At 39.0% G+C, this 15568-nt stretch overlaps 1 protein-coding gene across 4 annotated transcripts in view, besides 1 other annotated feature; it reads right to left on the bottom strand.

The window, feature by feature from the left end:
- Positions 1-15568, bottom strand: part of KIAA1958 — a 182571-nt gene that overhangs the window by 65758 nt on the left and 101245 nt on the right. The window lies entirely within an intron of this gene.
- Positions 7895-8084: a silencer, noted in NCBI's record as "fragment chr9:115357836-115358025 (GRCh37/hg19 assembly coordinates)". NCBI's record gives its function as "represses an EF-1alpha promoter that drives an FKBP-Casp9 reporter gene in an ReSE screen in K562 erythroleukemia cells {active_cell/tissue: K562}" and the evidence as "EXISTENCE:reporter gene assay evidence [ECO:0000049][PMID:32094911]".

Here is a 15568-nt window from a genome sequence, read left to right as displayed (position 1 = left end):
CAATTATGCATTGAGTTTATGGTGTGGGCTCTAGGCCCTATAGGAATTCAGAAAGAGGGAGAGGAGAGAGAAGTCAAATAGAGCTTAAGCTGTGTGGGGGCTCTAATCCATGGTGGAACTGGGTGGGACTTGGGTTGGTTTTAAAGGATGGGTATCATTTGTTTAGGAAGGGCAGTAGGATAGGGCATCTTAGGACGAAGCTGCACGAGCAAAGGGAAAGACATGGGAATGAGTCTGGCTTGTGCTCATAGGCTGTAAGACACCAATCCTGATTTTGGGGTAGGGGAATAAAGCTAGACCAATGGGATAGCCACATGAAATGTTTTTATAGTAATATCAATACATATGCAAGGAGAAGAGACTGAATATGTTAAATGCAAAAACCTCCAAATGCCAAACACTTGAATAAGGTGCTTTAAAAAAAAATAAATCAACACCCATTTCTCTACCTCTAACATTCCTTATTCTTCCTTTGCTGTTAAGTTCTTCCATACATCTATTTGTTACTTCTTCCATACATCTCTTTGTTTACTTGTTTTGTGTCTATCTCTCCCCAATGGACCATGAGCTCCAAAAGAGCTGAGGTTTCACTGCTTTATTCCCAGGGTCTAGAAAAGCACTTGAAAAAAGTAGTAGGATTCAATAAGTATTTGTTGACTGAATTAACACCAAAGCAGAAAGGGAGGTTACGGAGATAACTCCATGTGTAATTACACAACTTCACTTCACTTATCCACTTCAGACCAACCATACTGATTGTATTTAGAAAGCATTAAAAACAAAAGTGAGTGGCATAAAATTAAATGTTGGGACTCACAGTGAGAATTCCATAATCACCTTATTCTTTGTTAGGACCCTTCAGAGAGTCAGGGAAGGTGGTGTGGACATCTGTAAAAATGGTATTAAAATGACTTATGAGGCCGCTGGAAGCTTCTCCCAGGGATAGTTCCTTAGGAATTAAGGACCCGTTGGCCATCACACAAATTACTACAAGACAATATCTTTATCTTACTAACAGAATAAGGAAAAAAGCAAATAATACTTCAACTAAAGTCCATACCAGAATGAACATAACCCATAAAACCAATGGATAGCTCCCTCACTCTCCCTTCAACCTCCTTTTAAAAAAGAGATTATGCTGATGTTACGATGTTGTCTATTAGGTACTGTACTAACTTCTTCCATAGATGCATTCATCTGAAAGAAATCAAATTTTCTTATGACTCCTTTCATGTTCAGGGAAACGATCTTGGTATTTTAAAAAACATGATCCCTGGTTAGTGATCGTACGAAATAGGCCAACTTCAATTTTATTTGTTAGTGGTTACAAAAATCATATTTGCCAACATTCGTGTTTCATTTTTGAAAATATTATAGCAATAGCTCCTAATACCTGCAATCTTTTGGGGGAAAAAACCCAGTAAGCTATATTTACTTTAAAAGTGGAAAATTAATTGTAACAACCTTATAACTACCATAAAATAAAATTAAAAAGTCAATATCTTCTTTCTTTTTTAAACACCCAACTCCTTGCATATTATGTTTTCTCCTAGAACTTTAAAACAAAGGCTGTTTTCTAGGATAGTTAACATTACTAATTGAAGCCTGATTTGTAAGCTATTATAGCTATCTGACCAGCAAATTATTTTTATGCTTGGTTAATCTTTTCCAATAGTGGAAGTAAAACACATTTCTTACATACATGTTCAGGAGCTCTAAAATTTGGAACGATAGTATGTTAGTCCAGTATGATTCTTGATAGCATTTTTCACTGAAGCAGAATCACTTAAATAAACATTAGTCATCTGCTCATTTCTCTTGGATGTATGCTATGTGACTCTACAGCCTCTGAGGAATTTTCTCCTTAATAAAAATTTAGAAAACAGAAATAGAACACAAAATTTACCAGTACTTATTAAACCAACACATGGTCCTAAAGAACAGGGAAAAAGCTTCCTCCGCTTTCTCATCTGTATCAACTGTGGTCTTCATATATTCATTAAATCAGGCACTGTGCGTGCTGCAAGGTGGGGGTGAGACATCAAATGTGTACAGGAGACCAGGCACTGACCTTGCAGATCCTCAGAACATGGAATCAACTTATGGTCAAAGGAGGAGTCTGCATTTTTAACAAGTCCCCAGATAGGTCTAATATCAGTGTGGTCTACTAAGCCACACTTTGAGACACAGTGCCGAAGAAGACCTAGAAAACGACTCCTCCTTTCAAATAAGCTTTAGACCCAACTCCTGCCACACTGCTGGAATAGCAGATTTTCTGGTCTGAAAGTTTTTATTTCCCAGGCAGAATAGCTGTTAAATAATGTTTATTTAAATGATTTTTGTTCAGTGAAAAACAGTAACAACAATCATGCTGGACTGACTGGTCCTATTATTAGACAAAATAATGAGTTAAGGAATTCTTTCTGAAACCCACTAGATTCAGATATTTTCTTTCTTAACTTCTCTAAAGTTATTCTTAAGTTCAAAACTGTCTACTTAATGGCCAAAGACCATTTTCCAATTCTTATCTTAGCTGACCCCTTTCAGGGTACCTGACACAGGTAGCATAGCCAATGGTTAAAGGTTCCAGCTCTGCCAACAAGAATGCCTGGGTTCAACTTCCAGCTCTGCCACTTAATGAGCTATGTGAAATCTGTGAAAGTGCTGTAAACTAAGCCTTGGTTTCTTCAATTGTAAAATGGGTATAAACTGTACCTATCTCTTAAGAGTTGTATGAAGATCAAATACAATAGGAAAGTAAGCCACTTAGCTCAGTGTTGGACATATAAGTCATCTAGTTCAACTCTTTAAACATACTGCTGCTTAGAAAATGTGTTCCAACTCATGAAATCAAAGTCTTCCTACCTAGCCCGAGCTCCTCCTCTATTGCTACTTTAATTTCTGGCAAATATTTGCTAATTATTCCAAGCTAGATTCTACAAAGGCTACTGAAGTCAGGCATTCATGTATTTAATATAAAAGAATATCCTGCCATGGACATATGTGAACAACCAGAGTTAATATCTATATCTAAAACAGCTTTTAGGAGACCGTCCATTCCATAAAGCTGAAAATTCTGTGATTTGATAAGCTAATTGTGTCACTGTAAGAAGAGACACTATGTGACTGTATGAATTCAGTACAGTTCTAAACAAGGGTAGAATCAGAGAATGCTCCCCTTTAAGAATGCTACTTTTTAAAAATTAAATTACAACAATGAAGTTTTTCCTCAATGGTTCCTTCCCCTCAAAAAGAGACGTAACATTGCAGGTGTGACCTAACAAGCCTGAGGACAGCCCTGCTGTGCTAGAAGGGAGTGAATTCAAACAGGCTTCACACGTGGAGGAGATGCAACATTAGGTGAATCTACCAAGACACAAAAAGGCAAAAAGGAGACCAGATGACAGGTGCGGATAAATAACTAGATGAAGCTCCTCAAAACTAAAAGTGAATTCCAGTTCCAAGTCACAGAAAAGAAATTAAGCATTCTGTGCTACAGCCAAGGTGAAAGAAGAGTAGAACAAGAGAATAAATATTGTACTATATTAATCACAATAAGAAGCACTTTCGTCTCGGCCAAAATATATTCTTAAATCAACTTTAGAATGTAGCTGCATTTGCCGGCTTAGCAGCATGAAACCCACAGGACTGTAATTAATGTAATAAATCATGCTGTGGACTTTTCTACAGAATCTGACAGTACTCATTGATATATTGCTTATTAGAGACTGCAGAAATTTCTCCCCCACTTTTTTATTATATGCCAGAGACACTGAATCAAGAGAACCTTCTTCTGATATGTCTGAAATATCTGCTGCTGGTATAATACATAAAATACATAGTGAGCTGCTGCCATCAGACTTTGATATACAAGACATCATATACAATTTCCAAAAAGAATCTTGTTTTTTAACTCTCACTTTCCTTGAGTTAAGGCAGTTGTAGAAGACACATGGATTCATTATAGATGTGACATTTACATTTTCCACAGCTTCAGCCATGAAGCCACAGCTTTGCACATATGGCTCTCCTTTTCAGCTCATTCTTTAATGACTCCATTAGTATACAGCACAGAATATTCTAAACAGGCATTATCTCAACAACCTATACATGTTGTTCCATTGTTTTCAATATCTGACTCTTCAGAAAAAAAGTTTTTATTGAACATTAAATCATTTTCAAAGCTAAAAATGAGTCCTTTCACAGTTCAGAAGAAATTCAACTATGACTGCATTTCACTTCAGTGAGTTTACAAAACCCTTAAATCTGCTGTATATAAGCATCTTCTAATTTAGGAATAAACTTTAGTTTAAAAAAGTTTAAAGGGTCACTATACACATAAGGAAAACGTTACATGATGCATTTTCCCCTAATAAAAATAAATTCATTAGTTTTATCATAAAAGCAATATATGGTTAATATAAAATTTTCCCCACAAAATACAAAAAGTATGAAGAAAGTAAAAACTGTTGGTAAATCTATCATCCAAAGATAGCCATTGGAAGTACTGTGATGCATAGCTTTCCAATGCAAAATTTTAATTTAAAATATTACTTTCCTTTTTTTTGCTCTAGTCTTACTCTGTCACCAAGGGTAGAGTGCAGTGGCTCAGTCACTGTAATCTCGAACTCCTGGGCTCAAGCGATCCTCCTGTCTCAGTCTTCCCAATAGCTGGAACTACAGGCACACGCTACTGCACCCAGCGAATTTTTGAATTTTTTGTACAGATGGGGTCTTGTTATGTTATCCAGGCTGGGATGGTCTCAAACTCCTGGCATCAAGCGATCCTCCCACCCAGGCCTCCCAAAGTCAAAGTGCTAGGATTACAGGTGTGAGCCACCATGCTTGGCCTAAAAATAGTACTCTTTAATTACCAAGAGTCTAGTCCATTCTGTCTTAATTATACACTTCAGTTTTCTTGTGTGTCTTGTTTTTTCTCAGGATATACTGCTTTGTGACATGTTCCAAGAGAAAAACTACTATTAACATAGTAATGCCTGGATATTTCTGATGTATTCCTTTTGATCATATAAAATTACAGATTTTAAGACTTGAATAAGGGTTTGGCATTGGATTTATTTTCCATGGGTGACACAGAAATTCCTTATTTAGCTACTGAGAATTCCCTATGCTCACTCTTGCCCTCATTCAAAATGTTCTCCACACAGCAGCCTGAGTGTATGAGCTTTCTGGATTCCCAGTTTGTCCATGTCACTCCCCTGCTTAAATTCCTTCCCTGAATTCCTATTGTCCTTAAGTGAAACTTCAATCTTCAGTATCTCAATCCACAAGGCTCTGGTCACCTCACCAGTCGCATCTGAAAATAAGCTCACATGGTTTCCTCCATGCCAACGACAGTGGCCTCAATGCAAGTTTTCAAATATGCTTTCCTTTCAGTATCTTAAGGCATCTTCGCTCTCAAAGCATTTGCACGAGCTGGCCCCTCATCAGGAATACACTCCTGGCCTCCATTTCCAAACCTCTCATCCTTCATTCTCAGGTCAAATGTCACTTCCTTAAAAAAAAATCTTCCATTATCCTCTCCTTATGCCAACAAATTCTCCGCTTTTTCCTACCACAGCATGTCTAACAATTTATAATTATCTATTTCTATGACTACTTGATTAACGTCTATAACATTAAGTAAGCTCTGTGAGGAGCCCAGACTAGAATGCAAGGAACCTTTTTTTCCCCACTGTTTCATCCATGGTTCAAGAAATGAATAGCAGGCACTCATTAGTTAATATTTGTTAAATAAGTGAATTAACTTGATTATCAGAAAAGAAACACTAAAACTATATAAGAAAAATATAAAGCCAAAAGAAAACAAAGAAAATGAAAGTGATCTCCTTTTTCATTTCTAGAAACTTTACTATTTGCATATTTGCTTCAACATTCAACAAAAACATATTCAGCATCTCAACATGGTAGGCATTGTTTTAAGCATGTCTGTACGTGTCTCCCTCAACTGTTAAACACTCTGATTTCCATCTAACGAAGGAGTTAGAGATTGGAACAAGAAAAAGAAGAGCAGGAGGAGAAGTTTTGGCAATGAAGTTTTTGGAGGAATAAAGCAAACTCAGGGAAAGTTGGCCCATGTCCTGGAACAGCCAAGAGGGAGGATGCTGAGACATGTAAGAGAAGCATCACCATGGCAAGGGGGCCTACTGGTTAAGAGCATAAATTTGGGAATCAAACCACCTGGATCAAAATTCCAGCTTTCCGTGCTTCTTACTGTGTGACCTCCAGTAACTCTAATCTTTCTGTGACTTAGTTTCTTTATCTGTGAAATGGAGTTAATTATAGTCCTATCTTCAGAGAGTTGTGAGAACTGAGTTAACATAAATAATTAGTGAGATAATAAGCACACTAGAAGTGTGGGCTATTATTATTGCTATTTTGCATGTAGTAATCACAGAGAGCCAACAGCATATGACTCTGCAGACTGAAGAGGAGTCTGGGAAGTTAAATAAGATCACCTTTGTTAACAGTTCATCAGTATGACAGTCAGAACTGAGTATCTGAAAGGTGTTTTTCACAAGTTTGCTGAAATTTTATGGCTGCAATGACTGAGAACAAACTCTAACAAAACATTAGAGATAACATCTGATGAATTTTAAGAGATGAAATACTGTTACTATACCACAACAGAAATAGTTATTACAAACATTTGATTAGAAACCATTCCTTCCTTTAAATTTACTCAATTTACATATCTACATTTATTGCATATATTAATCAGTAAGGATCAAAATATGAAGGCATCTTTTACTAAAAATGCATAGTACAAATCAAAAACAAAAAGGTATTATTAATCAATTTGAAACAAAAGATGTATGGCACATAAAGCAAAAGGAAAACAGATAACACATAAAAATGGAAATGCACAAAGCTATAATAAATTACCTGCTTCTCTTCTGAGTTAGGCTATTAATATTCATTAAATTCCACCCAAGAAGTAATAACCTAATGGATAGGAGGATGCTGATTTCTAAGTGGGTCAGTGGACAATAGCAACACATATTTTTGAGAAGTTCATTATAAAATAAAAATTATGTTGTTCCATGACACTATAGAGAAAAAAAGTTAGGTATTTTCCTATATGGATTAGCATTCTATACTCATTTATAAGTATAGGCAAAACAGGAAAAGAAAGCTTTTCTTTCAATTATGAGATGGTTGCCTTCCATAACACAGAATAATAATTTAGTAGCATTAATTCTAACAGTATACAAAGTGTTAAAAAGCTAGTAACCTGTAACATAAATCTTAATAATATATCCTAGAGACTAAAAATATTCTGTAAAATATAATTTTAGGTACTATTTTTTAAAAAGATATATTTATATTCTTTGAATCAAACTCTAAAGTCAGATTCATAGAAACAGTATACTCTAGAATAAGAGGTATTATTTTCCCTGCTAAATGAAGGGTGAAAAATTAAGTAATAATTGAGTTATTTTAAAAAAATTCTCAACTATAATCGGTCATTTCACTTGTTGTCCTAGAGGTCCCAGCTTTTTTTACTGTATACTCCATATGTAAAAATGTTTTCGGCTGGGTGCGGTGGCTCATGCCCGTAATCCCAGCACTTTGGGAGGCGGAGGAAGGCGGATCACCTGAGGTCAAGAGTTCGAGACCAGCCTGACCAACATGGAGAAACCCCGTCTTTACTAAAAATGCAAAATTAGCTGGGCATGGTGACACATGCCTGTAATCCCAGCTACTCGGGAGGCTGAGGCAGGAGAATCACTTGAACCCGGGAGGCGGACGTTGCGGTGAGCCGAGATCGCACCATTGCACTCCAGCCTGGGCAATAAGAGTGAAACTCCGTCTCAAAAAAAAAAAATGCTTTCAAACAACAGCCCCAGAATATGTATATTTATTTACACTATGTATAAGTGCTACTGCCAATCAATATATTAAATGTTAGTAAAGCTTAATTTTTTTTTTTTTTTTTTTTAGATGGAGTCTCACTCTGTCGCCCAGGTTGGATGCCAGTGGCATGATGTCAGCTCACTGCAACCTCTGCCTCCTGGGTTCAAGTGATTCTCCTGCCTCAGCTCCGCCTACCCCCACCCCACCCCAGTAGCTGGGGTTACAGGTATGCACCACCACACTCGGCTAATTTTTGTGTTTTTGGTAGAGATGGGGTTTCACCACGTTGGCCAGGCTGGTCTCGAACTCCTGACCTCAGGTGATCCACCCACCTTGGCCTCCCAAAGTGCTGGGATTACAGGTGTGAGCCACTGCACCCGGCCAGCTTAATTTCTTAGATTAAATAAAAATCAGGAAATCTAATGTTTTCTGCTGGCACCGCAATGGATCACTGTGTGACTATCTTGGAGAGCATTGAGCCTTATCACTCAGTGCTATAACTCAGTGCTATAGCTTCGTCACTTCATTATGGATTATCTTGTATCTAATTGTTTTTCTATTATTGTCACAGTTATGTGTCCTTTTATATGGAAATTAATAAAATTCTGCTTCTATCAATCACTTTGAGATATGAAGGAGGTCAGAAACAGGTTTATTTATGTATCACAGGTAAAGTGAAAATATTAATATTGATCACTGCTAACTTAAGTGAAAATATATGGATGTCCCTATGTTTTAAAACTCTTATATTAAATATAGCAGAAACACATAAAAAGATGCTCAAGATTGTTAGAGAAATGCAAATTAAAACCACAATGAGGTACCACTTCACACCACTAAGATGCCTATAATCAAAAGTCAGATAGCAACACATGTTGGCAGGGATGTGGAGAAACTGGACCCACATACATTACTGGTGGGAATGTAAAATGTCACAACCACTTAGGAAAACAATTTGATTGGTAATTCATCAAAAAGTTAAAATCGTTAGCATACGACCTATCAAGTTCACTCCTAGGTATATCCCCAAGATAATTGAAAAACCTATCCACCCAAGAGCCTGTATATGACTATTCATAGCAAAGCATTATTCATAATAGCCAAAATGTGAAAACAACCCAAATACCCATCACTTCCTGAATGGATAAACAAAGTGTGATGTATCTGTGTATGAGGGATATTATTCAGCTGTAAGAAGAAATGAAGTACTGATAGATACTATAACACAGGTATATCTTGAAACATTATGCTAAGAAACCACATTGTACACCTATTGTACAATTGCACTTACATAAAATGTCTAGAATAGGCAAATCCATAGACTAGGGGGTCCCAGGGGCTGAGGAGGGAGTAAGAGAGGCAATGGGGTAATGAAATGTTCAGGAATTACACAGTGCTGATGGCAGCACAACAATATACTTGAAACCACTGAATTGTATACTTCATTTTAATTGTGCACTTTAAAGGATGTATTTTATGGTATGGATTATATCTCTGTAAATTGGAAAACATTTGGCAGAAATTGCTGCTGTCCAGCAAAATCTGTCTTCCCACCTTCCAGAACTTTCCAACTATACTACATTTAAAAGTCTCCCTTGGCTGGGCTCACTGGTTCACATCTGTAATCCCAGCACTTTGGGAAGCTGAGGTGGAAGGACTGTTGGAAGCCAGCAGTTTGAGACCAGCTGGGGCAATGTAGTGAGACCCTGTCTCTACAAAAAACAATAAAAATAGCCAGATGTGGTAGTGCATGCCTGTAGTCCTAGTTGCTTAGGAGGCTGAGGTGGGAGGATTGCTTGAGCCCAGGAGCTCGAGGCTGTAGTGAACTATGATCATGCCACTGGACTCCAGCCTGGGTGACAGAGCAAGACTCTGCTGTCTAAAAAACAAAACAAAACAAAACAAAACAAAACAAAACAAAAAACAGACAAGTCTCCCTTGCAGTTGGTGCTTGAGGAGGGTATTCTGTCACAAGAATTATCTGAAGCCCTTAGTTTCTGCCCATCTCTGGATCTTGACAACTTGTTTTACTTACTAACTCTACAAATATAGGCTGGGCTCAGTGGCTCACACCTGTACTCAGCACTTTCAGAGGCCAAGGTGGGAGGACTGCTTGAAGCCAGGAGTTCAAGACCAGCCTGGGTGATAGAGGAAGACCCTGTCTCAAAAAACAAAACAAAACAAAAACAAAAAAACAAATATAGTCCCACTGCACCCCTCCATCCCTGGTCAGACATAAACTCTTTATCCACCCCAATTATGGAACAATTCTTTCAAATGTTGTTAGTTTTTAGACCAGTAATCTAAGCCCCCCTAAAAGGTGGGCATGTGGTCCAGCTGCTGTTAAATCTGCCATCACCTTGTATAAGACAATTTTCAGCTTTCACTGACCCCCTCCGTGGCCTTTTAGTTCGTGGCCGGGAACTGGTTATGGGCCAAGCTGCATGAATTTCACATTCAAGGGGGTTACTGATGTATATTCAGAACCTGCAGTTTAGTTCCACTACGTGGCAGAGCTGGAACCCTGACAATAACATTGAGTGGTGCAAAAAAGGGATGTGTGAGCCCCTTTGCTTTCTGTCATGTAAAAAGATTTTGTTTTTAATTTAAATTTAATTTTAAAAGGCAATACACATCATTACAAAAATTAAAACCAAAAAAAAGTACATAGAATAAAAAGTATCCCACCTCAAAACTCTTTCAATTCCTACTCTTCAGGAGTAACTACCATAAACTATTTAGTGTGATCCTTGTCAACCTTTTTCTATGTGTACTAAAACAAACAGCTTTTTTTCTTTCATAAAAATGGGCTATTATATACATAGTTTTGACAGTTTTAGCACAACAGTAGCAAAATTGACACAAGCCCATTCAGTACATATAGACATACCTCATTCCTTCTACCACATGGTATTCCGTTGTCCCATTACCTGAAAACCACCTGTCCCATTTCAGAGTGTGGCTGCTACTCAGATCCAATTACTTGTCGCCAAAAGGGAATTTTCTAGGTTTTAGCACTATCTTACCCAGGCTACCTCTCTTCTATTAAGGTGTTATCTTACTTATTTTCAAATCCTGAACCAGGATGACAAATAAAAACTACAATTCCCATCCTGCATTGCTACTAAAGTACTTCCAACTTATGGTAGCAGCAGCTAATAGTTATCAATCACTGACTACGTATCAGGCACTTCTCTCTAAGTGCTTTACTTTGATTAACTTGTTCCTTACAATGACCCATTAAAACATACTATGACTTTCCTTGTTTTATAAATGATGAAACTGAGGACCAGAAAGCTTAAGTAATTTGCCCAAAGTGACATGGGTAGAAGTGTTGAAACCAAGCAGTCTTATCTAAATTCTATGCTTAACTGCTATACTGCTTCTTTCTTTGAGACAGGGTCTCCCTCTGGTGCCCAGGCTGGAGTGCAGTGGTGTGATCTGGGCTCACTGCAGTTTCAACCTCCCGGGCTCAGGCAATCTCCCTGTTAGATATGAGTTCTAAATTTCTTTTCAAAGAATTAATATGTCAGTATGTTCAATTCTTTGTCTTCTACTTTTAAACTTAACTTCCTCGTAAAGCAACCTTTTTCGATTACCTACTCCACCCTCATTCCGATCACCTGCTCCACCCTAACTCATTCCAGTTACCTGCTACCTGCTCTGCCCTGACTCCTACCAAACCACTCACCCTGTCACTCTCTTTAAATTAGCCAATCAGAATTAGTTTAGCCTGTGCGGTCTAACCCTAGCCAATAGAGGAACGACACAGCAGCAAGGGCCACGTGCGTCAGGGATAAGAACCCCTTTCCCTCCCTTGTCCAAGCGTGAGATCACCATTGCTCCATCTGTAAGGGGGCACCCTTCTATAGAAGTCACTTGCATTGCTGAGAATTAAAAAGAAAATTTTATATTCGAGTGCTATTCCTTTTGTGGCACCGTAACTTTATATATAACATTCCCACCTCAGCCTCCAAAGAAGCTAGGACCACAGGCACACACTACCACACATTGTAAATTTTCTTTTCTTTTTTTTGTGGAGACAAGTTCTGTGTTGCCCGGAATGGTCTCAAACTCCTGGGCTCAAGCGATCCTCCAATCTCAGAATCCCAAAGTGCTGGGATTACAGGCATGAGCCACCACATCTGGCCTCATGCTGCTTTTTAAGAATAATATGTAGTCTAACATGACAGTTACATTCCTTAAAAAAAAATCCACTTATCAAATATTGAATTAAAAATAAATACTTCTATAAAAAATAAGAGGGAATGAAGTTATGGTTTTAAATATATAATAGCAAAATTATTTTTTCTTATATGAATTCCAATACTAAAAGTAGTTTTTATTGCTTTAAGTATATAGCCATAAAAGCTAAACCAGCCAGGTGTGGTGGCTCACGCCTGTAATCCCAGCACTGTGGGAGGCCGAGACGGGCGGATCATGAGGTCAGGAGATCGAGACCATCCTGGCTAATACAGTGAAACTCCGTCTCTACTAAAAATACAAAAAAATTAGCCGGGCGTGGTGGTGGGCACCTGTAGTCCCAGCTACTCAGGAGGCTGAGGCAGGAGAATGGCACGAACCCGGGAGGCAGAGCTTGCAGTGAGCCGAGGTGGCACCACAGCACTCCAGCCTGGGCGACAGAGCGAGACTCTGTCTCGAAAAAATAAAAAAGCTAAACCATCACCAAGTAAATCCAGCATTTCAATGCATTTAAGTTTTGCTCATGAGTTACAGCCCTTCTTTTCCTTATCACCACCAGGAGTAACAGAGCAGAGTTCTTAGATATTCCTGTCACCTTCAAAATTATAATGCACAAAGCCCAAAGGCTCCTAGAGAAGCTGGATGTCAGGGTGACAGTAAGGTGAATTATAATTAATGGTAATCTGCATTAGACATATCAACTTCCTTAATCAATCAATCACATTATACACAATTATGAAATTTTGCTGTAAGAGAAAATGCCTGAACTTTATTCACTAGGACCAACTACATGTTTCAAAATTCAATGTTTCATCATTACGTTGGCCCCTACCTCCACCCTCAGTAACTACTGCCCGAAATGTTCTGAGGTCTGCCATGGTTAGCAAGAGGTTAAAGAATGGTGTCTGGGCCCGGCGCTGTGGCTCATGCCTGTAATCCTAGCACTTTGGGAGCCCAAGCGGGTGGATCACCTGAGGTCAGGAGTTTAAGACCAGTCTGGCGAACACAGTGAAACCCTGTCTCTACTAAAAATACAAAAATTAGCTGGGTGTCGTGGCAGGTGCCTGTAATCCCAGCTACTCAGGAGGCTGAGGCAGGAGAATCACTTGAACCCGGGAGGGGGAGGTTGCAGTGAGCGGAGATCGCGCCATTGCACTCCAGACTGGGCGACAAGAGTGACATTCCGTCTCAAAAAAAAAAAAAAAAAAGAAGGGTGTCTGGAGCTTGATGGGTCAGGAGTTGTCACCTCATGAGGATTCTAACAAAGCTTTGGAGGAGACTTGATGGCATGTGTTAAAAATTAAGACACAGCAATGAAACTGTAGCCTTGAACTGCTCTCAAATCTTAAAGTGAATAAAATCATTCAGGGACCTCATTAAAATGCAGATTTTGATTCAGTAGGTCTCCTAGGGCCTGAAATTCTGCATTTTAAGCAAGCCCCCAGGTGATGCCAATGGTCAGGGGACCACACATGGCAGTATGAGGGACCACATCACACTATGCAGGGGCTGCATCCAAGGTGGAAGCCAGTCATCTGTTGGAACTATGGAAAGGCTCCGGGCTCAGGGACAACTGGTAAGAGAGGGTGGCAGTAACAAGTGGATCTGAATCCAGGAGACTAATGAAAAACTTATAATGGCTATACCAGCCAGGACATCCCTACTCCCCACTATCCTACCCCAGCCCCTTTCCAGAAAAAAGTCAGAAGGAACTTTGCTAAGGAAATGGTACCTATCACATGGGAGAATCAAGACCTCTATCGTGGGTACTGGTATCTGAGCCCTGTCACTGGAGGCCTGCTGACCAAGTGCCAGCTCTCTACCTGCTCTGGAAAGGCAGCCCTGCCAATCAACTTGTTCCGTCCTACTTTTCACAACATATCCCATCCTACTTTCAGGCCTAGTAGGACATAAACCTATTTACACAACTGCAGCAGGAACCCACACCAGATTTCTGTCCTGCATTCTCTTTTTTTGAGACAGAGTTTCACTCTTGTTGCTCAGGCTGGAGCAATCTCGGCTCACCGCAACCTCCACCTCCCGGGTTCAAGTGATTCTCCTGCCTCAGCCTCCCGAGTAGCTGGGATTACAGGCACATGCCACCATGCCCAGCTAATTTTGTACTCTAGAGATGGGGTTTCTCCATGTTGGTCAGGCTGGTCTTGAACTCCTGACCTCAGGTGATCCACCAGCCTCAGCCTCCCAAAGTGCTGGGATTACAGGCGTAAGCCACTGCGCCCAGCCTGTCCTGCATTCTTAAATATGAACAAACAAGTAGACAAGGCATCAGAAGAAAACTGGGAGAATCAGAAAAATGAGGGAAAAGGAACAGAAAAACCAAAGGAAAAGATCACTCAATAACAGAAGATCACTTTTTAAAAATTTCTAATTAAAATTCTCAAAAAGATGTGGGAGTTTTTGTAGCTATAACCCTTGCAAAAGGAACAAGCATTGCGGATCTCTTTCAATCATATTAGAGAGCTGGGCACGGTGGCTCACGCCTGTAAACCTAGCGCTCTGGGAGGCTGAGGTGGGAGAACTGCTTGAACCTAAGAGTTTAAAACCAGCCTGGGCAACATAGTGAGATCTGACCTGTATTTTTTTTTTTTTAGTCATATTAGAGGAAAGAAATTTTCAGCAATTTAAGGACTCCAAAAGTTACTTCCTACCAATCCATTCTTGGGAAATTATTGATGGATTCCACCAAAACAAGGGGGAAAAAGGAAGAAACATGAAGTTAGGGGAACAGTGGATCAACGCAGGGAAAACCTCAGGGTTGGGGGATCAACTTAGGTTTAGGGTAAATCAATTAGTCCAAACTGTAGCAGGAAACCAGCTTGGGAATCTCATGGGCACCAAACAAATATGGTGAAGGAACACTGTTCTCTTGTCAAGAAAGGCTACCAAAAGCTTTAGGAAAACACACACACACAAAGTAACAAAACAAAAATATATTTCACTGATTCTAAGATACACTTCTGCACATTTTAGTAATTGTGAGATTTGTCTCTAAATTCCTGGGGATTATAGTTTAATCGGTAGCATGCTTTTTTCTTTCTTTGCGGAACATAAAATAATAATACTGCTTACAGTCAGTGACATTTCAGATGTAATGAAATACAGTACTAATAATAATGCTGGGACGGGCTTATTGAAGACTTACTCTACCAGAAATTGTTCTAAGCCCTTTACATGGATTAAGTCATTTATCCACCCAACAACCCTTAGAAACATTCTTCTCTGACTGCACCAGAGCTTGTGAAACTCATCGGGATGAAAAGAAATGCAATCTTAGAATATGAATAGCTAGGAACAATATTTACACTGTGAAAGTGACATAAAAGGTGTTAGTGGTTCTGAATATTTAGAATCAACCTATGGATAAAGCAGAAAAGGGTTAGTTATTAAGAGTAAAAATATTGACAAACTTGTGACAATAAGAAGATTGTGAGAAGCAGGAGCAGGGAGGAGAGAACAGTGGAATGAA

Source organism: Homo sapiens, chromosome 9, assembly GCF_000001405.40.
Source record: "Homo sapiens chromosome 9, GRCh38.p14 Primary Assembly".
Classification (NCBI taxonomy): domain Eukaryota; kingdom Metazoa; phylum Chordata; class Mammalia; order Primates; family Hominidae; genus Homo; species Homo sapiens.
This window is presented reverse-complemented; position numbering and strand designations above follow the sequence as displayed.